The sequence below is a fragment of the Homo sapiens genome, chromosome 14 (genome assembly GCF_000001405.40).
Source record: "Homo sapiens chromosome 14, GRCh38.p14 Primary Assembly".
Classification (NCBI taxonomy): domain Eukaryota; kingdom Metazoa; phylum Chordata; class Mammalia; order Primates; family Hominidae; genus Homo; species Homo sapiens.
This window is the reverse complement of record NC_000014.9, coordinates 62,948,628-62,976,546: the sequence shown is the minus strand read 5'-3', so window position 1 is coordinate 62,976,546 and position 27,919 is coordinate 62,948,628. Positions and strand designations below refer to the sequence as shown.

General features: G+C 36.9%; 1 protein-coding gene across 3 annotated transcripts in view; it reads left to right on the top strand.

Moving 5' to 3' along the window:
• The window catches only part of KCNH5 (potassium voltage-gated channel subfamily H member 5), a 345,995-nt gene that overhangs the window by 68,912 nt on the left and 249,164 nt on the right, over positions 1 to 27,919 (top strand). For all 3 annotated transcript variants that reach the window (NM_172375.3, NM_139318.5, XM_047431275.1), the window contains exon 7: positions 25,988 to 26,414. In NM_172375.3, coding sequence (NP_758963.1) covers positions 25,988 to 26,414 — 427 coding nt within the window. The remainder of the gene's footprint in view (positions 1 to 25,987; positions 26,415 to 27,919) is intronic.

The following is a 27,919-nucleotide window of genomic DNA, read 5'->3' as shown; positions in this document are numbered from 1 at the left end:
ATGACTACTGTCTTGATATTTTTTCCTATTATGATTTTCTCCAGCCCTCTGACCTTTTCTAAATTTTCTTTCTTTCTGGAACTCCTTTTATTCAGATACTGTACCTATGAGACCAGTCCTGTAATTTTTTTTTTTTTTTTTTTTGACATGGAGTCTCGCTCTGTCACCCAGGCTGGAGTGCAGTGGCGTGATCTCGGCTCACTGCAAGCTCTGCTTCCTGGGTTCACGCCATTCTCCTGCCACAGCCTCCTGAGTAGCTGGGACTACAGGCGCTGCCACCATGCCTGGCTAATTTTATTTTTGTATTTTTAGTAGAGACAGGGTTTCACCATGTTAGCCAGGATGGTCTCGATCTCTTGACCTCATGATCCACCCGTCTTGGCCTCCCAAAGTGCTGGGATTACAGGCGTGAGCCACTGCACCTGGCCAATTTCCTTTTTTTTTTTTTTAAATCTCCTATTTTCTAATCCTTTATCTTTTTGCTACACTTTCTGGGAGATTTCTTCCACGTTATTTTCTAACTCTCTTTGTCCCTAATAATGCTTTTCTTGCTTAAGGTCTAGTTTGCTTAATACTATTATAGCTAAATTTGCTTTTGTATGGTTGGTGTGTATTTGATCCGTATATTTCTGGATATATATTTTATGAGTAGTGTATAGATTCTGAAAGTCTCTTTAACAGGCAAGTTTAATCTGTTTACATTGATTGTGATTAATTACGTTTTGATTTACTTAGTACATCTTATTTTCTATTTTTAAATGCCTTTTCTTACCTTTGTGTTTTGGTGTTTTCTTTTTCCTTTTGTTTTTCCAGGTTTTGGATTGATTGAACTTTCCTTTAATCTCTTGGATTCCTCCTACTGGTTTGGAATTTTTTCTGTTAATCGATTACTCTTACATTTTTAACATCAGTGTTTGACTTAACAGATTCCAGAAGCTTCTAAGTATCTTTACCTTTCTTCATTTGATTCAAGGACTTCTGTTCCCCTTCATCTTTCAAATTATTATTGTCTTTTATTTTGGATCTACATTATTTTTAATTTTTTCCTTTTAATATGTGATTGTTTTATTAATATTTAATTGTCAATTCTTATTTAGATTTATCCACACGTTTATCGGCTTCTTCATTCATACTATTTTATGCATTCTTTGCCTTTTTTCTGGGTCAGTTCCTATAGATTGGCTCTTTATTACCCCTTATTATAACATTCACCTTTCTGGAACATATTTCTTTCAGGAAGCCTGCCTGCATCATTCCCAAGCAGCTTTAATTAATATCTTCACCATATTTCATGTTCACTTATGTATATGTATGCGCCTTAATATAGTTAAAAATATTTTTTTCTTTTGTTGATTTGTGTGTGTTCATAAGCACTATATCAGCTGTTGGATGTTCTGGAGTCTTGTGCCTTGTCTAGGACATGTTTGTTTTGAGACTTTGAGAGGGTTACTCTGGTTCTCAGTTTCCATGATGTAAAACAAGGAAAGGAGTGTATAGCTAAATTACTTATATCACAAGGTGATTATAAGGAATAAATGGGAAAAGGGATACTAATATATTTTGCTTGTAGAATTCTGCAAATCTGGTGGGGTATTATTATTTCATTTGTATGTGTTTGTTTCCTCAGCTGGATTATAAATCCTGTGATGGTGAAGAATGTGTCTTCCATCTCCTTGGTATTTCTTCATTGCTCTTAAGGCATACTGGTGACTTATTGACCTGAAGCAGTAAAATGTTAGCAAGGTTTTAGTAAATTGCACAATGACATAAAAATAAAATAGAACTTAGACCTGAAGAGGAAGTACATTAATGGTGACTTGGGAATAAGAAAGAATATGAGTCTGAAAATTACGATATAATCCTTTTACATGATGTAAGTGCAGAATGACTTAGAAGACTTAATAACGTTCTTTATTTTCAAGATTGTCGACACGCTCTCTGAAGGTAGTTTGGTTTACTAGGAATTCATGAACTGAATATGTGATTCTTTAAGAAAATTGTGAGGCAGAAAAGACAGATTCCATTAAAGAAGGCATTCTGTTTGAAAAGAAGGAACATAAATTTTCTAAAAGCTGTAAACAGAGGGTAAAAGAATGTTGTCACTAAGAATCCAAAGAATAGGATTGAGCTTCTTTGTAGTATGCATTTGAATACAGCTTTGGGAGGTTCAGGGAGCTTGATTTTGGGGAGATTAGAGGGAGTTGAGCCATAGAACATCATCAAAGATGGAGCAGCTGCAGATAACACGCTGTTTGGTAGCATAGGAGGATTCAGGAAATATGAAACATGGGGAATTTTGATGATAATGAGTAGTCTTAATAAGTGATAAACATAAAAACTAGGTCAAAAATGAAATTGGGAAAAGATAACTCATGCATTGCTTTAGGAGAAAGAATGAATAGAACAATGACTGCTAAGTGGAAGTATATAAATACTTTTAATTTTCAGAAAAGTTTATGGAAGATAATTTTCTAAATTATTGTTTTGTCATGAATTATGCTTGTCAAGCTGCCACATGCATCATTTCACTTTATCCTGTATAATTACGTTAATAATTTTTATTTCTGATCTAGTCATTAAAACAAGAACAGGAAATCAGGAAGGCTAATTATGCTTCTAGACTTCAGTAACTTCTGTCAGCTTAGAATCCTCTTTTTCCCTTTTGCTTGCCATCTCAGACCTTCTACAAAGAATAACATGTTAGAAATTGTTATTTAATATAGTTGGCTTGCCATTACCTTTTCATTAAAGTGTATAGATAATTTAAAATAATACTTCAGTGGTATAACTAGGATATACCTAATTTTTCTGTTTGTTTTCCTAGTTTTAATCTTATTAAATCCATATAAATACTGCCTGTCTAAGTTTGTTATGTGCTGCCATAGCAAAATACCACAGGTTGGGTCATTTATGAAGAACAGGAACTTATTTCTCACAGCTCTGGAGACTAGGAAGTCCAAGGCACTGGCATGTGGTGTCCTGTGGGGGCTGTCCTCACATGGTGGAAGGCAGAAGAGCAAACAAGACAAATGTGTCTTCATGTAGCAGAAGACAGCACACCGCTTCTGCAAGCCCTTTTTATAGCAGCATTAATCCATGCATGAGGGCAGATCCCTCATGACCTAAATACATTCTATTTGTCTTCATCTCCCAACATTATTGCATTGAGGATTAAGTTTTAACATATATATTTGAGGGGACAAACCAATCAAACCATAGCGCTACCCAATCCTTCTTGGAATTAGTTGATTTTTCTTTTCACTGTGATTCACAGCTGATGATAGCATGCCAACATTAAGTCCTAAGCAATCTGCTTTTAAATCTAACTTTGTAAAGAGTGTGAGCCTTTTTAAAAATAGACTTTAATTTTTAAGACCGCTTTTAGGTTTGTAGCAAAATTGAGGAGGTGCAGAGATTTCCCATGTACTGTACCCTTTGCTCCCAAACATGCATAGATTCTCCCACTATGGAAATCCCACACCAGAGTGGTACATCTGTTACAATTGATGAACCTACTTGAATACATCATTATCACCCAAAGTTGATCGTTTCTAGTGGCTTTCACTCTTGATTTTGTACATTTAATGGGTTTGGACAGAAGTATGATGACAAGTATCCTCCATTACAGCATCACACAGATTAGTTTTACTGTCTTAAAATTTTTTTCATGCTCTGCTTATTCTTTTCTCCTTCTCTGCTTATCCGTGGCAACCACTGATCCTTTGTGTCTCCATAGTTTTGCCTTCTCTAAGTGTCATATAGTTAGAATCAGATAGTTTGTAGCTTTTTCATATTGGCTTCTTTCTCTTAGTAATAGGCATTTAAGGTTCCTCTGTGTTTTTTCAAGGCTTGATAGCTCATTTTTTTTTTCTGTGCTGAATAACATATCATTGTCTGGATGTATCACAGTTTATTTATTCATTCACCTACTGAAGAACATCTTGGATGCTTCCAAGTTTTGCAAAATTATGAATAAAGCTGCTATAAACATTCATGTGCAGGTTTATATGTGGACATAAGTTTTAAACATATTTGGGTAAATACCAAGAAACATGATTGCTGAATCATATGGTAAGACTATGTTTACTTTTGTAAGAAACTTTCAAACTGTCTGTTTTCCAAAGTGGCAGCACCATTATGTATTCCCATCAGCGATGAATGAGAATTTCTGTTGTTCCACATCCTTGCCAACACTTGGCGGTGTTAGTATTTTGGAGTTTGACTATTCTAACAGGTGTGTAGTGGTATCTGTTTAAATGTATCTCTTTTGATGTTTTAAAATTTTCAATTGACAAATGGCATATATTGCTGAACACCTTTTCATATGCTTAATTCTCATAGGAATATCTTCTTTGGTAAGATGTGTGTTCAGATCTTTTGTGCATTTTTTTAATTGTTGTTTTAAGAGTTCTTTTTAGTTTTTAGATGATAGTACTTTATTAGATGTCTTTTGCAAATATTTTCTCTCAGTTTGTGGCTTGTCTTCTCATTCTTTTGACTGTGACTTTTGCAGAGCAGAATTTTACATTTTAATGAAGTCCAGCTTATCAATTATTACTTTCATGGATTGTGCCTTTGGTGTTGTATCTATAAAGTCATTGTCATACTCAAGGTCATCTAGATTTTCTCCTGTGTTGTCTTCCATAAGTTTTATAGTTTTGCATTTTTTATTTTATATGATTCATTCTGAGTTAAATTTTGTGAAGGGTGTAGGGTCTGTGACTAGATTCACTTTTTTTTTTAATTTGGCTATCCAGTTGTTTCATCACTATTTTTTGAAAAGACTATGTTTGTTCCATTGCATTGCCTTTTTGCCTTTGTCTAAGATTTATGCCTATATTTATGTGGGTCTATTCCTGGATTCACTATTCTGATCAGTTAATCTATTGTCTATTTTTTCTCCAATACCATACTCTCTTTATTGCTATACTTTTATAGTTAGTCTTAAAGTCATATAGCATCAGTCTTCTGACTTGGTTCTTCAACTTCCATATTGTAGTGGCTATTTTGAATTTTTTGCCTGTCTATATAAGCTTTAGAATCAGTCTACTTGTATCAACAAAATAACCTGCTAGGTTCTTAATTGGATTTTTGTTGTCTCTAGTTCATTTTGAGAAGAACTGACATCTTGACAATATTGAGTCTTACTATCCATGAACATGAAATATCTCTTCATTTATTTAGTTCTTCTTTGATATATTTCATCAGTTTTGTAGTTTTCCTCATAGATCATGTGCACATTTTATTAGATTTATATTTAAGTATTTTGGGGAGGGCTAAAGTAAATGGCATTATGGTTTTTTATTTCAAATTCCACTTGTGCCTTGCTGGTATACAGAAAAGCAATTGCCTTTTGTGTATTAACCTTGTAACCTGGAACCTTGCTATAATTACTTATGAGTTTCATGGTTTTTGGTCAATTTATTCATATTTTCTACATAGATAATCATCTCATCTCATGGATAATCATCTGTGAACAATGACATTTTTATTTCTTCCTTCCCAGTAAGTATACCTTTTCTTGTTTTATTGCATTAGCTAGAATTTCCATGATGAGTTTGAAAAGAAGTGATGAGAGGGAACATCTTTGCCTCGTTCCTGATCTTAATAGGAAAGCTTCTAGTTTTTCATTCTTGAGTATGATGTTAGTTGTAGGGTTTTTTTTTTCTTTTTTTTGGTAGATGTTCTTTATCATGTTGAAGAATTTCCTCTCTACTTGTAGTTTGTTGAGAGTATTTTATCATGAATCGATGTTGGAGTTGTTAAATGATTTATCTACATCCATTGATATGATCATGCCATTTTCCTTTAGCTTGTTGATGTTATGGATTACATTAACTGACTCTCAAATGTTGCACCAGCTTTGCATACCTAGAACCAAATCCAGTTGGTCACAGTGTATACTTTTTAAAATACATTGTTAGATTAAATTTTTTTAAATCAAATATTAACAAAACATTTTGTTGAGAATTTTTACATCTATGTTCATGAGAGATATTAGTTTGTACTTTTCTTGTAATGTCTTTGTCTGGTTTTGGTATTGGGGTAATGCTGGTCTCATAAAATGCACAAGAAAGTATTCTTTCTGCCTCTACCTTCTGGAAAACATTGGAGGAAATTGGTATAATTTATTCCTTAAATGTTTGATAAATTTCACTTGTGAACCTATCTGGGCCTAATGCTTTGTGTTTTAGAAGGTTATTAATTATTGATGCAATTTCTTTAATAGATGTAGTTCTATTCAGATTATTTTTTTTCTTGTGTGGGTCTTAGCAGATGTGTCTTTCAAGGATTTGATTTATTTCATTATCAGATTTATCAAATCTGTGGGCAGAGTTGTTCATAGCATTTCTTAATTATCCCTTTAGTATTCATGGAATTTGTAGTAGTGTCCCCTCTTTTATTTCTAATATTAGTAATTTGTATCTTCTCTCTCTCTTGTTTCGTTAGCCTGACTAGAGGCTTATTGATTTAATTTTTTTTTTTTTTTTTTTTTTTTTTTAGACGGAGTCTCACTCTGTCACCCAGTCACCCAAGCTGGAGTGCAGTGGCGCAGTCTCAGCTCACTGCAACCTCTGCCTCCCAGCCTCAAGTGATTCTCATGCTACAGGCGCATGCCACCACGCCTGGCTAATTTTTTGTATCTTGATAGAGACAGGGTTTCACCGCGTTGCCCAGGGTGGTCTCGAGTTCCTGAGATCAGGTGATCTGCCTGCCTCAGCCTCCCAAAGTGCTGGGATTCCAGGCATGAGCCACTGCGCCCAGCCAAAAAAAAAAAAAAAAAAAAAATTAATTTTATTTTAAGTTCTGGGATACACGTGCAGGACAGGCAGGTCTGTTACAGAGGTAAACCTGTGTCATGGTGGTTTGCTGCACCAATCAATCCATCACCTAGGTATTAAGCCCTGCATGCGTTAACTGTTCTTCTTGATGCTCTCCCTCCCCGTCCCTGGCAGCCCCCCATCAGGCCCCAGTGTGTGTTATTCCCCTCCCTGTGTCCACATGCTCTCATTATTCAGCTCCGACTTATGAGTAAGAACATGTGGTGTTTGGTTTTCTGATTTTTAAAATCTTTTCAAAGAATTAGCTTTTGGCTTTGTTGATTTTTAAAAATTTATGTCCTATTTTCAATTTCATTTATTTCTGCTTTAATTTTTATGATGGCTTTTCTTTGACTTACTTTGGATTTCTGGTTTGCAAAGGTGAAAGTATAGATTATTGATTTTAGATTTTTCTTCTTTTCCAGCATATGTATTCAAAGCTGTAAATTTCCCTGTAAGCACTGATTTTGTGATCTCCTATCCTACGCATTGTTAAATTGTATTTTCATTTTCGTATAGTTCAAATTATTTTAAATTTCTTTTGAGATTTCTTCTTTGACTCGTGTTATTTAAAAGTGTGTTATTTAATCTCCAAGTGTTTGGGTATTTTTCAGATATTGTTCTGTTATTGATTTCTAATTTAATTCCATTGTGACCTGAAAGCAGACATTGTATGATTTCTATTCTTTTAATACATATAGTGATTCTAATAACAATTTGAAAATCATTTATATTTATATTGGATTTATATTTATATTGAGTATTGGATTACTCGTCTTTCATCTATAGGCTCAGAGAAGGTGTGTTGGTGACCCTATTTGGCATCCTTTAATTGTACTTCAGGTAAATAATTCAAATCCAGCAAAGATCTTTAGAGAGCTAATGGTTAGGTATTATGCTTGTTTCTGGAAGAATCTCCAAAGCAGACACTCTGTCTCTCTAACTCATCTTGGATTTGTATACCTACCAAGATGCCTGACATCTAATTGCCAGCCTACAAATATTTCTATTGAAGTGAATGAGGCATACCACATTTCCTAACTATACATGCTTTTTGTTAATAATGGGAAAGATAAGGCCAGAGGGAAACCTTTGTGACATAATCTTAGCTGTGCTCTAAACTCTTTCTTCTCACAGACTATAGGGCATATCCTTTGACCACTATGTTCACATTTCCTCTCATGAGTTGCTTTCCATGAGTATTCTTTTGCTGTCATGTAAATAATCCTCCAGTCAGATGACCTACCCTACCAGCTTTCCATACATGTTTAAGGATTACCCTAGGGTTAAGCCTCCAAGCTGTGATCTCCCACTGGGAGTGCAAAGTATTGTGGACAAATAAATACAAATAAATACAAAGATGAACAAGACACAGTCTCTGAACAGATATCTACTTTCTACTTTGAGGGAAAGACTTTCTCACAAACTATTTGCAGGTGTAAATAAAAGAGGGGTCAGGGTGAAGGAAGAGATAGGGAAAAAATTTGGAGAAAGGGTAAGAGTCAGCCTCAAGTTCCAAATTGGAGCATGATGGCTGTCATCTAAGCTTTTAAATTCTATTCCTGGTGGGCATTGGTAGAGAATGTTATCATGGTTGGGTAATACACAGCTTTAAAGATAGACTTCCTTAGATTTGAAAAGTTTGGTGATGTTGCAGGAACATTCTTTTGCATGAATTTCCAATGAGACAAAGCAGTCTGTCTAACTGAGGGAATTAGCTTTGAGAGGAAAGGAAATAACAAGCAATGAGGATAGCATTGAGCTTCCTTTATTTGATTTTCTTGTTTACATAAAAATTTTTTTATCTGTACTGATCTTCATTCATGATAAATTGTTCCTATTGTTAAGCATCAGGGGATGATTCTAACATAGAGGCAAAGAAGGTTGAAATATATTGGAATTTGTATGTTACAGCTAACTCTTAAACAGTTTTTACCTTAACTACTTATGAATACTTGCATAGAGGTTACTGTTTATTGTCTTTCTGTGCAATAATTATCCCCATGCTTGAGAAATCATAGTTTTGTTACTCTGCTTTTGGGGAAGCTCCAGTGGAGTTCATCCCTACTTCATTTAGCCTTTTTAATACTTCATTTTATTCCCTAATGTCCCTGCTTTCACACAACACACACTAACTTATAAAGAATATGTTTGTCTTTGTATTGAATTTCTTCATCTTTAAGAAGTGTTGTTTATATTTAGGTAAAGGGTTAACAAAATTATTTTTTCTTCTGCTTGAGAATTTGACCTTTGGCTAGCAGTCTTCCTTTGCTTCCCTGGGAACTGATGAAGGGAACATGTCATTTATGTTTCTAGGCAATATTACTTATGTTTAGAAAAAAAGGGCTGGGCATGGTGGCTAATGCCTGTAATCTCAGCACTCAGGGAGGCAGAGGAAGGAGGATTGCTTGAGCCCAGGAGTTTGAGGATAGCCTGGGCAACATACTAGGACCCCATCTCCACAAAAAGGAAAAAAAAATTCCCTCATCAGTAAATTGCATCTAGACTGTGAGGAACTTTTAATAAACTATAAATAACTTGATAAGGACACCATAGCTTATGGGTTCCTTGAATGATGGAGCTTTCAGAGTTCCATCAGATATGAGCATATCTCTTGTGGGACTCTGAAACTGCCTGTGGCATTGTTATTAGAAGTATTAGATTAGGTAGAGCATGAGGCTGTCAAAAGCTACATCCCCAAACATTACCAACACAACCTGTTAAAAAGACAAAGCTGAGTTGAATTTATTGCTTACCACGGTAAAAGGGAACACTGCCATGCAAAGCTCTAGTAGTGTACTCAGAGCAGGAAAGAAAAGGACAGAATGGATTAAGAATCGAAAGTTTGATATAAGGTAGGTTTTTAAAAACAGGGAGTGGCTAGGGGAGTGGGCTTTATTAGAACTGGGTAAAGTTCAAGAATATGATACAATAGCACAGGATTGGAGGAAACAGCAAGGCAAGGATTTTGAAGGAAAGAATTCAAAGAATCTTAGGACATAAACTGTCTGCAGATACTTTTCACTAAAGAGTTAATAGGTCTTTGCAAAGTTCGTGTAATAAAAAAATCAAACCATTTATCTGAGCAGGAGAGTCCTGGAGAAAGAAGGTCCTGCTAAGGGAGACAGAACAATAGTCCAAAGTCGTGTTAATGTAGACAGTAAGATAGAGTTTTAGTTTTCAGTGTCCAGAATGAGTGAGAGTAGTGGTGATGGTGAGATTAGACTATTTCTCAAGGCTTTTAAGTCAAGATGGCTCCAGTACTTGCTGACTGAGTCTTATTTTCTCACTTTTAAGTTGTCTTCTTGGGGAGACTGGGGACAGGGAGCATAGCTCTTTGGACTGCTACACAAACTACTATGAGGTCTATGCCCATGGAAGAGGATGCTAATACTGCCCTTTTGATGAGCAGTGATTTCTATTCTGTGCCCTTCTGAGTCTACTGATAAATAAGCATGATCGATGATAGTAGTGTTTGAATGTTTAGTTGATCAGTATTGCAGATACAAATACAGAGTTTATGATCAAATGCCCAGTGTGCACTTTCAGAAGATGCTAGTTTCCATTGTCATTTGTTTGTTTTTGGGTAATTGTGTCAGGAAAAATCAGTCATCTTCAGTTACATTCACATTTATACACAGGATTACACTGAGTTGTGAATGGCCTTACTCAAAAACTTTTACAGATGTTGCAATTGTCCTGGTCACAGTAAATTAAGAGGTCTATATCATGGAAACCAGTGCAAAAATTATTTTACCATAGATTACAGATTTTTAGATTTGCTCAATTTTATGTTCAATATGATGCTACTGGAATTTTAGAATCACTTCTTCTTGTCTTCAATATTGAAATCTAACAAGTTTTAAAAAAGAACATCTATTTAATGACATCTTACCTATGATGGCAAAGAAAGTAATTATTTTTAGGAAATACACAGTATCCATGTACAGAAGCCTGCCAGTACATATGGTAAACATATCACTAGGACTGATCACTAGATCAATTGTTAAATTTCTGCTCTTTAGTGTTATGAATGACTGTGTATTTGGTTTGACTTCTGAGGTGTGGTGGTACATTGAGAAATATACAGGGATGGCTCTCTTAGTCCATTATGTGTAGCTATAACAGAATGCCTGAGGCTGGGTAATTTATAAAGAAAAGAAGCCTATTTAGCTCACAGCTCTGCAGGTTAGGAAGTTCAAGAGCATGGCCCTGGATTCTGATGAGGGTTTTCATGCTGCATCATAACCTTGTGGAGAAAGTCAAAGGACAAGCAGACATATGAGGAGAGACAAAACCCAAACAGTGTCCTGGCTCTAGAAAAATCTACCATTGCAGGAACTTATCCATTCCTTTAAGAATGAATCCAGTCTTGCCAGAGTGAGAACTCACCCACTACCATGAGAATGGTATGAAGACGTTCATAAGAGATTCACTCCCATGACTCAAACACCTCCCACTAGGCCCCATGTTCCAACACTACCACATTGGGGATCAAATCTCAACTTGAGTTTTGGTGGGACAAACCACATGCAAACTACAGCAACGACATAAGAAGGATTTATTCTTCTCTGAATGTCATCCTTTAAATGAAAAAAACAAATCCCTTACTTGATTTTATGCATCTATTCACCTCTCTCTCTCTATATATATATTGAGGTACTCCTTTATTATAAGTATTGGGGAATCTGGCAGTGAACAAGCACACAAATCCTTCCCTATCTTCATAAAACTGTTAAAGAGAAATTGCACCAGACATTTGTTGAAAACAAAGACTTTATTCAAGACCGTTGCAATAGTAGAGAGAGATTTTTGCACTAGGGGAGAGGGATTGGACTCAACTTTGTTGAAACAAGTGTAGAGATGTTGGTCAATATGATTAGGTCATCTAATCATTTGATAATTGGTGCTTATCAAAGTTTGACATCTACCCTCCTACAGACATTAGGAAATAGAGGCACTATCTTTCTTGATGATTATATTCCAAAGGAATAGCCCACAAGTCTTTGAGAAAGACATTCCTGGGTTATAAAATTGGCAAGAGGCTGGGAGATTTTCCTCTGAAAGAGGCAGAGAAAGAATTTACGATAGAAAGTTTCTTAAATAAATGTTCTAAGAAAAGGGAAGTCAGGATCCTAGACTTAGGAAGAAGCCAAGTTAAGGTCATCTTGGTCAGAGTTAATATTCTGGTGGGGGAAAAACAGACAGTAAGTATATGTGGACAGTTTAAATTGTGTGTGTGTGTGTGTCTGTGAGTATAATTTCAGCTAGTGATATGCTCTACAAATAAAAATAATACAGGGGCAATAGGATATAGATAATGACTGGGGTGATGAGGAGGTGAACATGTTGGAAAGCATGTAATGGGCTAAATGCCGCTGTTAGGTTAGGATTTCTTTTTAGTTGCAAAGGAAAGAGATTCAAGTGACCTCAAGTGATGGAAGATTTAGTATAAGGATGGATATTTTTCAGCACATAGCACAAATAACAGTGGTACCTTAGAACCTAATGTATGGCCCTAGACCAAGATTGCTCTGGGGAACTTGGCCCAAGGCAGAGCCAATTTCTAATATTAGGGAAGTGAGCCTGAAAAAAGGAAGGAGCTGAGCCAAAGTATAGGGAAGTGAGGAAAAAGAAAATGGAGCTACTCTTTGAACTCCTTCTTCATGTATCTCACAGTCTTTCATTGACATTGTTTTCTCCAGTATCATTTTCTTATAGCCTTAACATTCCATATGATCACATATGGTCATTAAAATTGTTGAAAAAAGGGATATTTTAGAAAATTATTTTGGAGGACATGACTGCTTACTGTTCTAGCTATTTTCTTAGGGTTTGTAGATCTTTAGTTGAGTTTCCCACCACTAATGTGACTCACTGACTCTGTCTGTATGCTTTTCTCTCTTGACTGAATTTCTTAGCATGCTTGTTAATTTCATCTCAACTTAACTGGACCTTGGGGTATTCAGATTACACATTGTTACTGGGTGTATCTGTTTCTTGCTGAGAATAGCACTTGGATCAGTACATTCAGTAAAGCAGATTGTTCTCCCCAATGTGGATGGGCATTATCCAATCTGTTGAGGGCCTGAATAGAAAAAGAGATGGAAGAAGGAGGAATTCTCTCCTTTTTTCTGCCTTACTACTTGATCTGGAACATCTCATCTCGTCTTGCTTTTGGACTGGAATTTACACCATTGGCCTGGTTCTTAGGTCTTTGGACTTGAATTGCAATATCGGCTTTCTTGGGTCTCCTGGTTGCAGATGGCAGACTGTGGAACTTCTCTGCCTCCATAATCATTTGAGCCCATTCCTCACAATACATCTCTCTCTCTTCCTAAATATCAACATCTATATACAGTTATTCCCTTTTACCCATGGGTATGCATTCCAAGACCCCCAGTGGAGGCCTGAAACCACAGATGGTACTGAACCCTATATATACTATGCTTTCTCCTATACAGACGTACCTATGATAAAGTTTAATTTATAAATTAGGCACAGTAAGAAATAAACAATATAACAACATAGAAGAATTACTATAATGTACTGTAATAAAAGTTATGTGAATGTGTTTGCTCTCTTCCAAAACATCTCATTGTTACTATACTCACCCTTTTTCTTACGATGATGTGAGATGAAAAAATGCCTACATGATGAGATGAAGTAGGGTGAATGATGTAGGCATTGTGACCTAGCTTTAGGCTACTATTGACCTTCTGATAATATATCAGAAAATGATTACATTCTTCAGGTGATCCTGGATCATCAAGCCATGAACATTAATGGTTGAATGTCAGGAGCAGGAGCAGATAATGTCAATATTAGGGATCCTTGATAGTTGAAGGTTATTTTTTGCTGAAACCTTTGGGAAGAACACTGTAGTTGGAAATTATTGTCTCTTTTAAACTCATTAAAATGTTGCTATAGAAATTGTATTCCTTCATTGATCATATAGGAGACTTTAGTGCTTTGTTTCATCTGTGGATCATATTCCATAATTCTGTCCATTATTGTCTGTACAATTTGAAACACTTCAGCAACTTTCCATAGTATCCACATTGCTAGTTCTGCTTCACTTCTTCTTCCTCTGTAGGTGACTCAACAAGTTCTTCTAGTTTCTCATTTGTTAGCACTTCTGATGACCTTCAATATGTTCTTCCACTTCATCAAGTATGTTGGCATATTCTTCTTCACTAACTTGTCTTGCTGTGTGAATTATTTTCTTAGCTTCTCCATTGATCCCCAGGAAGCCTTTAAAATCATTCATGACTTCAATCCATAAGTTCTTCCAGCAGGTATTTGCAATTTCTGGTTTTAATTAATCCATTGCAGTTTTGATGAACGCTATTGCATCAGAGATAGTGAATGATTTCCAGCATTTTTTTATATCTGGATTAGGGTCTGCATTAATTGCTGATCAAATGCAATCAAATATCAGGCAGGCGCGTGTGGCACTGATAAACCAAATGATGTCCTGGTCAAAGGGCTGAAACAAGGAGGTTGTATTTGAAGGTAAAAATACAACCTCAACATTTTCATTTTCATAGAAGATTCAGGATGGCTGGGTGCCTTCTCATCTCCATCTCCATCTTCATCTCCATCCCTGTCCCTGTATCCATCTCCATCTGCACATCCATCTCCATCTCCATTTCCATCTCTATCTTCTCTCCATCTCCGTCTCCATCTGCATCTGCATCTGCATCTCCATCTCCATCTGCATCTCCATCTGCATCTGCATCTCTATCTGCATCTCCGTCTCCATCTGTAACTCCATCTGCATCTCCATCTGCATCTCCATCTCCATCTCCATCTCCATCTGCATCATCTCCATCTCCATCTCCTTCTGCATTTGCATCTGCATCTGCATCTCCATCTGCATCTCCATCTCCATCTCTATCTGCATCTCCATCTCCATCTCCATCTGCATCTGCATCTCCATCTCCATCAGCATCCCCATCTCCATTTCCATCCCCATCCCTGTATCCATCTCCATCTGCACCTCCATTTCCATATCTCCATCTCCATATCTCCATCTCCATTTCCATTTTCATGTCCATCATGTCCTGTTAGTCCTGTTTCTCTGGAGAGCCCTGACAAATTCACTTAGTCTTTCTTCTCTTTTGCTTTGTCTCTTTGCTTACATAGCCCATCATGGCCACTTCAGTCTTACTCTGCTTCAACTCTCATTGCCTGTTACCTCATTCCCTCAGCATTTCTTGGACTAATTATTTATGCTATAAAACAAGAGTCTTAACTTTCAGGGTTGGGGATAGTTAGGAGAAGTGTCTCTGAGGGGGTTACATTTTTAAGCCCAGTCCTGAGAGATGCATAGGAATTCACCAGACAAAAGAAACGGTTGGTGGGTAGGGAGATTGTTTTAAACAGCATGTTTGGAGATCTCCTAGGTGAGAAAGAATATATTTTTAAGGTAGGAAAGAAGTCCTATATGACAGAGTGTAGAGAGCAGAAGACAGATGCTCAAGGTGAGTCTGAAGAGGTAGGCAGGGGTAGGTTGTGTTAAGGAGTTTGGGTTTTATTCTAAAGGCAGCAAGAAATTATTGAAGAAGGATTTAAAGCATCCCCAATTTGGTTTGCTTGTACACATATCATAATGTTTGGAAAAAAATCAGGGCTTTAGGCAATACACCTCTTCATAGGGTACATATTTTGATCAAGCTTTATATTCACTGTGGACCCAGTGGATATGAAAATGAAAGTCTTTTCTACAAAAAGAAGCATATTAAAAGTTACTACATTATGGATATTGCTGAAAATAAGTGCCTATTCTTTGTCTGTCTGTCTGGCCATTTATGCCACTGTGTTTCAATTAGAATATGAATTGGCTAATACAGGTTTTATGCACAAGTTATTTAAATTCAGATCTTCTACAGAAGGATGCTAGCTAATCCATGGAGTAATTAGGATTATTTCCCCGTAGAGCTCTTGGTAGCTTGAGTTGGAGCAGTGAATTCTGAATAGGAAAAAGCAATGTAACTTGTTATCTGGGTTAGAGGTTCAGATAACAAATGTAGTTTGCAATTTTTTTTCTGTCTTTAAATTGCACTCTACAAAAGGAAATGGAAATGGACTATGTAATCATTCATGTATAAAATCTATTTAGAATAAGGGCCCAATGCTTATGAAACAGAGCTTATTACTGTTTTGTGGTTTCTATCCAGTTGCCTGATATGGTACTACCTGTGAAAATTAAGCAGCTATTAATTATTGATTATGGTATCAGTGCTGGAGGAATCAGAAATTATTATGAGAGATTTATATATTGGTTAGGTTATTCTTTAATTAATGTTTTCATTCTTTAAATCACTAGGTTCCCAAGAGTGCTAGAGTGTGCTAGGGATAAAAGAATGAGCAAAACATGATACACATGCACAATCACAAAGAGACAAGTGTCATGAAGGGAATGTACATGGTCCTTTGAGATTATATAATGAAATGACCTGATCTAGATCAGAAAGTGAAAGTTCCCTAAGGAAGCAATAACTGAGCTATAATTTAAAGTATGGATAGAGCCAACTAGGCTGAGGAATGGGCAAGAAAGAATTATAGAACATTCCATTTACAAAGAACAGCAAGTGCATAATCCCTGTGTTCGAGGGAGAATGACATATTCAAAGAATTGAAAATTGGATGGAGAGTGAGCAGAAGAGAACGGAGCTAGAGTGGTAAGCCTGGACCCGACTGTGCAAGGCTGTATAAACAAAACAGATTTTAGAACAGTGGGAAGCTATGAGATAATTTTAAACTAGCAGTGATTTTGAAGAGGTAACTCTTATGCAGTGTTCAGAACAGATTGAATAGGTTTAAACAAATGCCTTGACAGTTAGGAAACTCCCGTAGATAGAGGAGAGAGATGCTGTTAGTGTGATCTAAGGTGATGACAGTGGAGGTGGTGAGAGGTAGATAAATTTGAGAGATAGGAGTTAAAATTATGTATTGATAAAAACATTATTACTACAAATATTTAAAAATAATGGAAACTGATTCAGAACAAGTTTCAAAATCTAACTACCAGTTTGCAGGAAAGTGGGAGGACAGAGGATTATACTAGTGACACCATAATGATGCAAACATCAGAATTCAGAATTTAGGAAACTCTATAAGACAAACAATCTGTTTTTTTATATAAATAAATTTGACTTCAACAGATTAAAAAAAGGAGAGGGAAATGTGTAGATTAAGAGACACATTAACAAAGCACAAAGTGTGGACCTTCTTTGGTCCTAATTCTAAGAAACCAGCTGGAGAGAGGGTGGGCATTGAGTGGACTGGATATTTGCTGATTTTGAGAAATCATGTTAGGTTTTATCAGGTGTGATAATGGGTGATAGTTTTGTTGAATTAAAAAATATGTTGTCTTTTAGAGACATACCCTGAAATATTTATGGACAAAATTATACATTTTGGATTTGCTTCAAAATAATCCAGTGGGGCCAGGAGTTTGCTGTTAAAAGAGAGATGTAGAAGAAACAAGGGTGGTGATAAGTTAATAATTACTCTAGCCGAGTTGTGGGTAAATGGGGGAATTATTATGCTATTTACCTGTTTTTTTGTATGTTTGAGTTTTTCCATGATAAAATATTGTTCTAAAATGAATAGGATTTTAAGGTAGGTTGGGTGAGGTGATGTTAGAGAAAGGGATGGCAAGGATGCTTCTTGGTTTCTGATTTGCTTAGTCACATAGCTGATTTAGGAGGGTGAGGGGGTATGTTAATTTTTTTTGCTTAATGAGAGGGACATGAGATGTTTAAATATCTATGGGAAAGGTGTAGTTGAAGAGGGTATGGATGGAGTTTTGAGTAGAGTAGAGAAGGCTTGAAATATAGTGAGCAGGTAAATTTACAAGAAAAACAGGAAACTTGCTAGGTAGTTGACAGATGCATTGAAAGTGATGGTAATGAATTTATAGTGGAACCCACTGTATAACTGTCTTGAGCAGTTCATAATACAGTTGTGAAGAAAGCTGGTAATTGAGCCAGGACTTGAATTTTGATAGTGGGCATAATGAAGAGACAGTGATGCTAAGCAATTTAGGGTGTTGATGTTATTGAAATTATGGGATTATATAAGAAAAAAGGTAGAGAATGAAGAGGGTTAATACATTGGGGAAAGGACTACAGGTTCAGTAAGGATAAACTACTTTTGCAGTTGGTGTAATTGGGCCATTGATCTTGACAGAGAAGCAGCCATGATCAGATAGCAGGATGATTCAATTCAAAATTTCAGAGCTGGAGAAAGTTTTGGAATATAACAAATTTTAGATTTTGATCATGAAAGTGGGTGTCTGAGGAGAAGTAGAAAGGTTGTTGGAGATGGATTGGTGAAGAAACTCCAAGGCCAGGCTATTGGAAGGCTCACCTCCATGGATATCACCCAAGGTGATGTTAAGTTTTAGGTGAGATTGGCTTTTAGAAATATTTATAAGATTTATGAAGTAATAACTTGGAGTTCTTTATTCTCATGAAGTATTTGTTGGCGTCAATCCATGCAAAGCATAATAGCAACATATTTCTGAATATAACAGATAAATAACACCCAACAATTGTATATTAAATCTTACTTTACACACCCATATCTTTCCTATTTGGGATAATGTTGTATTAAGATGGGACCTCTCTATTAACGCGATATCTATATTGCCCCAGTGTTCTGTCCTAGAAATATGAAATTCTGTGCTCATAAGCATGTAACATATGCACTTTTCTTACATTTTTATCAGTTATCTTTTTTCCTGCATGTCAAATAACTCTAAAGCTTTATAGATAATATCCACCATAATTTATTCAACTCATGAGTCTGCAGTTCAATTGGGTGGTTCTGCTGATTTAGGCTAGGTTTGGCTTATCTCAACTAAGTTTACTCATGCATCTGTGGTCAGCCGCTGAGTTGGCTAGGGCCTGAGTAGTCTAGGATGGCTGAAATGCATGACTCAAAGGGATGCTTCTGTGGTCTCTCATCCCCCAAAGCCTAGTGAGTCTTGTTCACATGGCAGCTGGGCTGGCTTCCAAGACCACAGGTGGAGGTGGTGTGCAAGGCCTTTTGAGGCCTAGGCTTGGATCTGCTGCAGTCATTTATATCACATTCTGTTGGCCAAAGCAAGTCCTAAAGTCAGTCTAGATTTAAGAGATAGGAAACAGACCCTCTGTCTTGATGGGAGGAATTATAAGTAACATTGCAGAGGGGTATGGATACAGGGGGAAAAATAAACACAGCTATGTTTTTGAAACAATCTACCAGAACATTGTATTGTGAGAATGCAAAGTGTAGGTGCAAAATCATGCAACTGGGTATGACAAGTCTGTATTCCTGCTCTTTCATCTCCACTTAATTGCAACGTGTCCTTGGACAAGAAAGTTGAAGAAAATAGGAAGGAATATTGGCTGAATTATCTACCTGCTATTATTAGCGACGGTCAGATAAGAGAATTGATTTGTATTTTGGATGGCTTTATCATTGCAAGATATTATTTTATGCTGATAACATCTCACATCTCTTTAATGTGGAATCCACAAAAGTGACTTGAAGGGTTAATGGCACAGAGGTGTCTCCTGGATACTGTTCCTTGTGCTACTATGGCCTGAGGGGCTTGTCAAGTAAGGAAATTGGCTAGAAAGGTGGAAGGCTGATGGCTGAAAGTCCTCCATTCACCCTGTTGTGTTCTGTTATGCACTTGATGTATTTGATATTCTGTTCCACAGTGGAACCTCAGGGATTTGTGTACTAATAGCTCAGAGGCTGGGATAGAGGCAGAAAGCCACTGAAGTGCAGAGGAGGGCACAGAAAGATTGGAAAGTTTGGAGTGAAATGAAGCAGAAAATCAATGAATATCTAAGACTGGTGGAAAGTACAGCATCAAAACATTGTTATAAAAAAGGCAGAAGTACATAAGAAGGGCATTTTTGGAGGATCAACCTCTAAAACTGTCTAGTAGTATCATATAAGTGAAATTAAACTTGCCAACAGGAATTAAATGCAATTCGTGGCCCAATCTAAAGGTTATGAGAGTGAATCATAAAATAAGGAAAATCTCTTATTTTAGATACATTGATAGCTATGACTCCCTGCCCCCCCCCGCCCCCACCAAATATCATGGGATGAGTAAGAAATTATTAATCTGAATCATGTACTGTGGTGAAATGTTAGCTTAATAACACATCAGTGACTATTAGGTTTTCCATAACATTTTTTTGATGTTTAAATATGACATATTTAAAGAAAATTATCCCAATCTTAAGTGTACAGCAGAAAGAATTTTCACAAAGTGAACCACCTAGTGATTAGTAGCTGTGTTAGGAAACAAAATACTGCCAGAACCCGAAGGTCTCCTCATGCCTTTTGTAATCACTGCCCCTCTCCCAACAAAGGGAGACACTATGCTCATTTAACCCCATGGAGTAGTTCCATCTGTTTCTGAACTCTTCAGAAATGGAATCATACAGTATATACTCTTTTGTATCTAGCTCCTTTTGCTCAACATGATGTTTGGGGGCAAAAAGGAGTTTGGTTTGATTGGAGCACTAGGGCTATGCAGAGGCATAGAGGGAAATGACCTGGCAGCATAGACAGAGATGGGATTGCGGGCATTGGAGGCCTGTTCAAGAGATTATGCTTAATGTCTGTGATAAGCCCTTGGACGATATGCTCAGTGCTGCCTTTCAGGAAGATTAATATTGCAGCAATGATGTAGGAGAGATTGGGGGTAAGGACAGGAAGGCTGCAGCGTGGTTGGTTGTTGTGGGAAATGCACTCAGAATCTGAAGGACTGGGTCTGAGTGATACTTCTGTTCCTTGCTAACTGTGTCTTTGGACGATTCGTTCAACCTGTCTGATCTTCAGTGTCCTCATGTGAACAATGAAGGTAGGAATCCTGCTATTATAAAAACAAAATGAATTGATCCATGTTAGAGAACTGCAGACTATATAGATATAAGAGTTCCAGGGCCTCCACGGACCCCTACTGCGTGGCCATTGCTGTGACTGAGTGGAGGGAAAGAGGAGGCTAGGTATTTAATCTACTTTATTCAGTCATGTAGAGAATGCTCATGTTTAAGCCAATATTGCAGGTATTCATGTGGTTGGATAAGTTACACATTATACTCTAGGTATAGAGACTTTCAGAATGAACGAAGGAAAATTCTGGAGACAGACTGCCTGAATGTGAATCTGGCTTCCTCCTCTTACTATGTATGTGAACTTAGTCCAATTATTTTTAACTTTTCTGGGCCATGCTTTAATGATAGGTACCACATAGGATTGTTCTGAATTTTAATTTAATTAATACAAAGAAAACACTTAGAATAGTACCTGGCATGTAGTAAATACTCAATGTTATTATTGCCTTGTCTGTCTTTTCCAAGTAGCAATAAATGACCTAACTTTCTGTTGGTTAACTGCATAGAAGTGTGTGGCACAGGCCCATTGAAATCCTGTTTGCATCCTTCTATCCCTGTAGCTCCAGCCTTTTTCCAGGTTACCCACATTAGGATTATACAGAGTGAGCTCAGCCCTCATCCATGCACTGTGTATTTGAATATAAATAGTGCCCTGCTCCAATCTCCCTTTTTCCAGTTCCTTTCACATTTCCTAATAGAGTTGAGTTTTGAGGGGTTTTTTTTTTTTTGGCAGTTCTCTGATGAATATATTCAACTGATCTCCTACATGTGTGACCTAGTGATATGGTTTGGCTGTTTCCCCACCCAAATCTCATCTTAAATTGTAGCTTCCATAATTCCGAGGTGTTGTGAGAGGGACCAGTTGGAGATAATTGAATCGTGGGGGTGTTTCCTCCATACTATTTTTGTGGTAGTGAATAAGTCTCATGAGATCTGCTGGTTTAATAAGGAGTTTCTCCATTTGTTTGGCTCTTATTCTCTTTTGTGTGCTGCCATGTAAGATGTGCCTTTTGCCTTCCTCCATGATTGTGAGGCCTCCCCAGCCGTGTGGAACTGTGAGTCCATTAAACCTCTTTTCCTTTACGAATTACCGAGTCTTGGGTATGTCTTTATCGGCAGCATGAAAATGGAGTAATACACCTAGTCAGTGTAGAGATTAAGGAGAATTTCTCTTTTGTACTCAATGACATACTCTATTAATGCAACCCTAAGTTACATTGACTGTTTTGTTCTCTACATTATACTGTTAAATCATTCTGAGTTTGTAATTAATCAAAGCCCTCCAAATTGATCCCCAACATTTGCTTGTTTCATAAAAGTTTATTCTTTCATTTATTGAATTATTGGCTGCTTAACATATTACCATATGCCAGCTTTGTAATTGACAGTAGATCTGCTCCTTAAGGAGTTTCCTGGAATGTCATACATGCAAACAGACTTGTAGTAAGTGTGACAGTGAAAATTGTTATAATAGAGATGTGCAGAAACTGTATGATAACATAAAGGAAGGATATCGAATTCTCCCAGTGGGGGACGGGGGAGAGTATGACAATAAAGATGGCAGAGGCAGGGAGATGATGTCAGGGAAGTGCACATGGAAGAGAGAGTATTTGTCATAAACTGTATGTAAGATCCTAACCACTAAGAGTGGGGGAAGGAAGCCTTTAAACAGAGAGAATAACTTGTAACGTAGCATGAAACAGCATGGACATTCTGGGAACTACTCCTATCTGAGAATGGCAGCAGCCTAGAGAACAGGTGGAGGAATTGGCAGGAGAGATGCTGAGCAGGTAGGTAGGTACAAGGTCCTGATGGGCTTCGCGTGTCACACTTGGAAATTAATATTTATTCCTATAGGTAATGAGCCAACATGAAAAGAGTTTATATTAGAGAGGGACATGGTTAGACAGTTGTGCTTTAAAGAAATACGAGACTGATAGCCCTTGTAGTGTGATCTGTGAATTAGAGGAAGCAAGAATGGAGGTGGGATGGCTGATGGAGAGGCAGTTCCTGTCACACAAGTGAGAAAAAACCAGGAAATCATGACCAAACATGTCTATGGGAATGGAAGAGAAGGAAATTTTTTGAGAGATTTATTAAATAGATATATTTTGAGCATTTAGGCACTTTGAGTGGTGAGACCCTCAGGACTTGATAACCAGCTACATGTGGCAGGAAATGGGAAAAGTTGAGGCTTCGCCCCAGGTCTGAGTGACTGGGTGGATAATGATGTCATTCACATGATAGAAGATAACTGATTTGGGAGAAGCAAACGGTTCCCTTTAGGACCTATTTTTGGATACCTGTGGGACATCCAAGAGGAAACGCACGGCAGACATTTGGCTTAGTATCAATAACTCAGGAGAGAGGTTTCTTTTTGTGCTAAGTGGACCTGAGAATGATTCATATATGGAAGATGGTTGAAACCTAGATATGCAGTAGATCAACCAGAAGAGGACTGAGGGCAATCATGAGAATCCTAACATGAAATAGAAGCATGGAGAAGGATAGCCCTGGAAAGTGATTTTGAGAGGGCGTCAGTTGGAGGGTTGGCTAAAAACCAAGAGGAAGTAGTGCCATAGAACCTATGGCAGAGAGAGTCTATAATGCTTGATATATATGTGTATATATTACTAATATTTTATATATACTTTATGTATATATATCAAGTATGTATATTTACTAATATTTTGTTACTTTTTAAGCTTGTAAAACATTTTATAATGTTTAAGTGGTGTCAAACTACTTCTAAACCTGTGGCAGAGAGAGTCTATAATGCTCTCTCTCTATATAAAACTGATATTTTATATATACTTTATATATCAAGTATGTCTATTTACTAATGTTTTATTGCTTTTTAAGCTCATAAAACATTTTATAATATTTAAGTAGTGTCAAACTACTTCTAAATATTAGAAAATGTGCTTTTGAGTAAGCAGAATCCAGAGCAGGCCTGTCAGGATGGTCACCTCCTTTTGGAGCAATCTGCTTGCTAGAGATGAGGGATGTGTGTCTTCCCACCATTTGGACCTCATTCTAGTAGGTCCTAACTCATGACATTCTAGTTGGGGTTTGTGTTGGCTTTCTTAGTTTGAATGGGGTGAAGATTTTCTCTCTGTTTTTCCTTCTCTTTGCTTTAAGCTATTTTCAGAGAAAAGAATTCAGGTAGAAATGACTTTTCTATGCAGTATTTAAACAGAAGTCCCAAAGTTCCTTTAAAAGTTTGAGCTAACCAGAAAATATTATCTATAACATCATTGTTTTTATTTTTAAACTGAACTCTGTTTGAGTTTTTCATGTATTTCGATTATGCGTTTCTTTAGAGCAGAAGTGAGGCATATTTATCTTAATATCCCCAGGGCTTAAAACAGAACTTGGCATATAGGAGTGCTCCATAAATGTTTATTTTTGTATTACTTGTTGATGACTGCACTGTTCCATTTTTGAAAGCTTTCAAGCCTTCCAACATCTCATGTCACTGAATTACACAAATTTGTCTTCTTTATTTCATTAATTCTACTCTTTTTAACTGACTAAAGTTTAGCATCTTTTTCCCCCAAGTGTTAAAGTGAAATGGGAATTTGTTTTTAGGCTGTATATATGCTACAATATTTGAGAGTTTCAACTTAAATAGAGGTAGGCCTAAGGAAATTGAAGTTGAGGCAGAAACCCAGCAGGATGACCCTGCTACTCCTTTGTTTCTATAGGGACTCTTGTTTCTACTTCTCTTTGTTATCTTTCTCTTTTAAATTTTCATTATGAAAAATTTCAAACACATGCTGTCTTATAGAATATAGTATAACAAACCAGATGCATTCTTAACTGTTTACTTTTTTTTTTTTTTTTTTTTGAGACGGAGTCTCGCTCTGTTACCCAGGCTGGGGTGCAGTGGCATGATCTCGGCTCACTGCACCCTCCGTCTCCCAGGTTCAAGCAATTCCCCCTGCCTCAGCCTCCAAGTAGCTGGGATTATAGGCACCCACCACCATGCCCGGCTAATTTTTGAGTTTTTTTAGTAGAGACAGGGTTTTGCCATGTTGGCCAGGCTGGTCTTGAACTCCTGACCTCAGGTGATCCACCTGCCTCGGCTTCCCAAAGTTCTGGGATTACAGGCATGAGCCACTGTGCCCTGCCAACTGTTTCCTTCTTAACTGTCAGGAACTTTAACATGCATAATTAGAGTCTTATTAATATACATCTATTCTACTGCAACAACAAATTCCTCCTTGCTGGTCAGAATTCATGTCAGAGTAAGTTATATTAGATTCCTTGTCTACATTCTGGGAGACAGGGTTAGCAGTAAGGAAGTCATGGATACGAATGGATTTGCAGGTAATGACTGCATGAGAGGCTTCCTGGATCACTGCTCCATTTTCCCTCCCTGCCTATTTTGTGAACTGCATCAGGAATGAACTTATCCTACCTCTGCAGGTGGTCTATTACATGCTTCCAAAAAAGTAACTATGGGACTTTCATTGATTTAAGAAAGCCTATGCTGTGCTTTGATTTGGATAATCCCTTATTTGTTATTTTAAGCTTCTCAACAAAATATGAATTTTCCGGCTGCTGTTCTTTTTTTGGTGTTATTTTTGGTGACTTTTGCTAGAGAATGGATAGGATAGTAGGCCACACACCCATTTCAGGTTCAGCTCTGTTCACGTTTTCAGAGCTCTAGAAATGCAGTGATTCTCATGATTGTGGCAGGAGGTAGTGGGGCCAACAATGGTATTTGTTCATTTTCCCCATATATACCAAAGTATTTCCTGTGTGATTGCCTGTAAGACTGTGCTTCCTTTTTCAGAGTTCTGCTATTTGTAGCTATCATAAAATAAGAAATGAAAAGAAACCTTTTAGAGTAGAGGGAAAGTTTTATAGGAAAAGGAAATAAAAGGTCTGAATTCAACACTCCTATTTGTATACTCTGTATATAACGCATTTGAGCAATTTTCATCTTCGGTTTCTCTCTGTACCATTTATATTCTACTTATGAAAATAAATTGGGAATTTCTTAGCTAATGAAATCTGTTTTATCTAATAATTTGAAAATATGAATTTTTGGGTAGGAAGATATCTATTTTTTTAAAGTTTATCATTTTGACTTTTTTGTTTTCTTAAAATCAGACCTATAATATACATATGTTCTTAATATATAATTGGATGGTTAAATTTATGAAGGTGAGCCATTGTATTGTTTCCCCAGCCTTTTTTTTTCCTGAAAATGTGGTGTAATTTTTTTTTTTTTTTTAAATCCAGGGAATCAGCAGTCTCTTCAGTTCTTTAAAAGTGGTGCGTCTCTTACGACTGGGCCGTGTGGCTAGGAAACTGGACCATTACCTAGAATATGGAGCAGCAGTCCTCGTGCTCCTGGTGTGTGTGTTTGGACTGGTGGCCCACTGGCTGGCCTGCATATGGTATAGCATCGGAGACTACGAGGTCATTGATGAAGTCACTAACACCATCCAAATAGACAGTTGGCTCTACCAGCTGGCTTTGAGCATTGGGACTCCATATCGCTACAATACCAGTGCTGGGATATGGGAAGGAGGACCCAGCAAGGATTCATTGTACGTGTCCTCTCTCTACTTTACCATGACAAGCCTTACAACCATAGGATTTGGAAACATAGCTCCTACCACAGATGTGGAGAAGATGTTTTCGGTGGCTATGATGATGGTTGGCTGTAAGTATTTTAATTTTTTCATTGAAAATTATTGTTATTGGCAATTTTCCTGGCTACAATCTCAGATAGGATGAAAACGAACTACTTTGTTTACAGAAAGGTATTTAATCCATCTTATTTGCAATTGTTTTTTTTAATCTACCTTAGAAAATAGAAATGCAAAATAATATATTTTACTCTTCAGGACATAATAATGTGTGAAAAACATATTAATGTGTGTACCCAGCAGTGCTCTCTTGAAGGAACCAGGACCAGCATCCAGAGAGGTGGCGTTTCGCACATTCCATAGATTTTGTTGGTAATGTGTTAAATTCCAAAAAAAAAAAAAAAAAGAGATAGGATCTGATGTGAAATATATTGTTTATAAATATTCTAGTTAATACTGAATTCCTAAATTAAAGTTGACCTTAGGATACACTTTTGTATAGGTTTTTACAATTAAGACTAGGAGAAAGGGTTTATAAAGCTAGTCTTCATTATAGCCACTCTAGGTTGAATATATGCCTGTTTGAGAGAATGAAAGGATTACTGAATATAAGCCCATTCAGCAATGAGAAGTGTCTAGGATTTAACAGGTATACCTGGGTACCAAGTTCTTGGAAGTAGAATACCCCCTAAAGGAACAAAGACCATGTGCTCTGCACTCAGACTGTGACTGGATGGCATCAGAAGACCAGAACATAAAGGAAATACATACAAAGAAGCTGCTTTTGAAGATCTTGAGGGAGACTTCACCATCATTCACGCCTTCAAGTTGACTTAGATGACTTATCCACACCTAAACTAACCTTAAGATTGTACTTTGATTTTGTATCCTGAGACTTTGCTGAAGTTGCTTATCAGCTTAAGGAGATTTTGGGCTGAGACAATGGGGTTTTCTAGATATACAATCATGTCATCTGCAAACAGAGACAATTTGACTTCCTCTTTTCCTAATTGAATATCCTTTATTTCCTTCTCCTGCCTAATTGCCCTGGCCAGAACTTCCAACACTATGTTGAATAGGAGTGGTGAGAGAGGGCATCCTTGTCTTGTGCCAGTTTTCAAAGGGAATGCTTCCAGTTTTTGCCCATTCAGTATGATATTGGCTGTGGGTTTGTCATAGATAGCTCTTATTATTTTGAAATATGTCCCATCAATACCTAATTTATTGAGAGTTTTTAGCATGAAAGGTTGTTGAATTTTGTCAAAGGCCTTTTCTGCATCTATTGAGATAATCATGTGGTTTTTGTCTTTGGCTCTGTTTATATGCTGGATTACATTTATTGATTTGCGTATATTGAACCAGCCTTGCATCCCAGGGATGAAGCCCACTTGATCATGGTGGATAAGCTTTTTGATGTGCTGCTGGATTCGGTTTGCCAGTATTTTATTGAGGATTTTTGCATCAATGTTCATCAAGGATATTGGTCTAAAATTCTCTTTTTTTGTTATGTCTCTGCCCGGCTTTGGTATCAGAATGATGCTGGCCTCATAAAATTAGTTAGGGAGGATTCCCTCTTTTT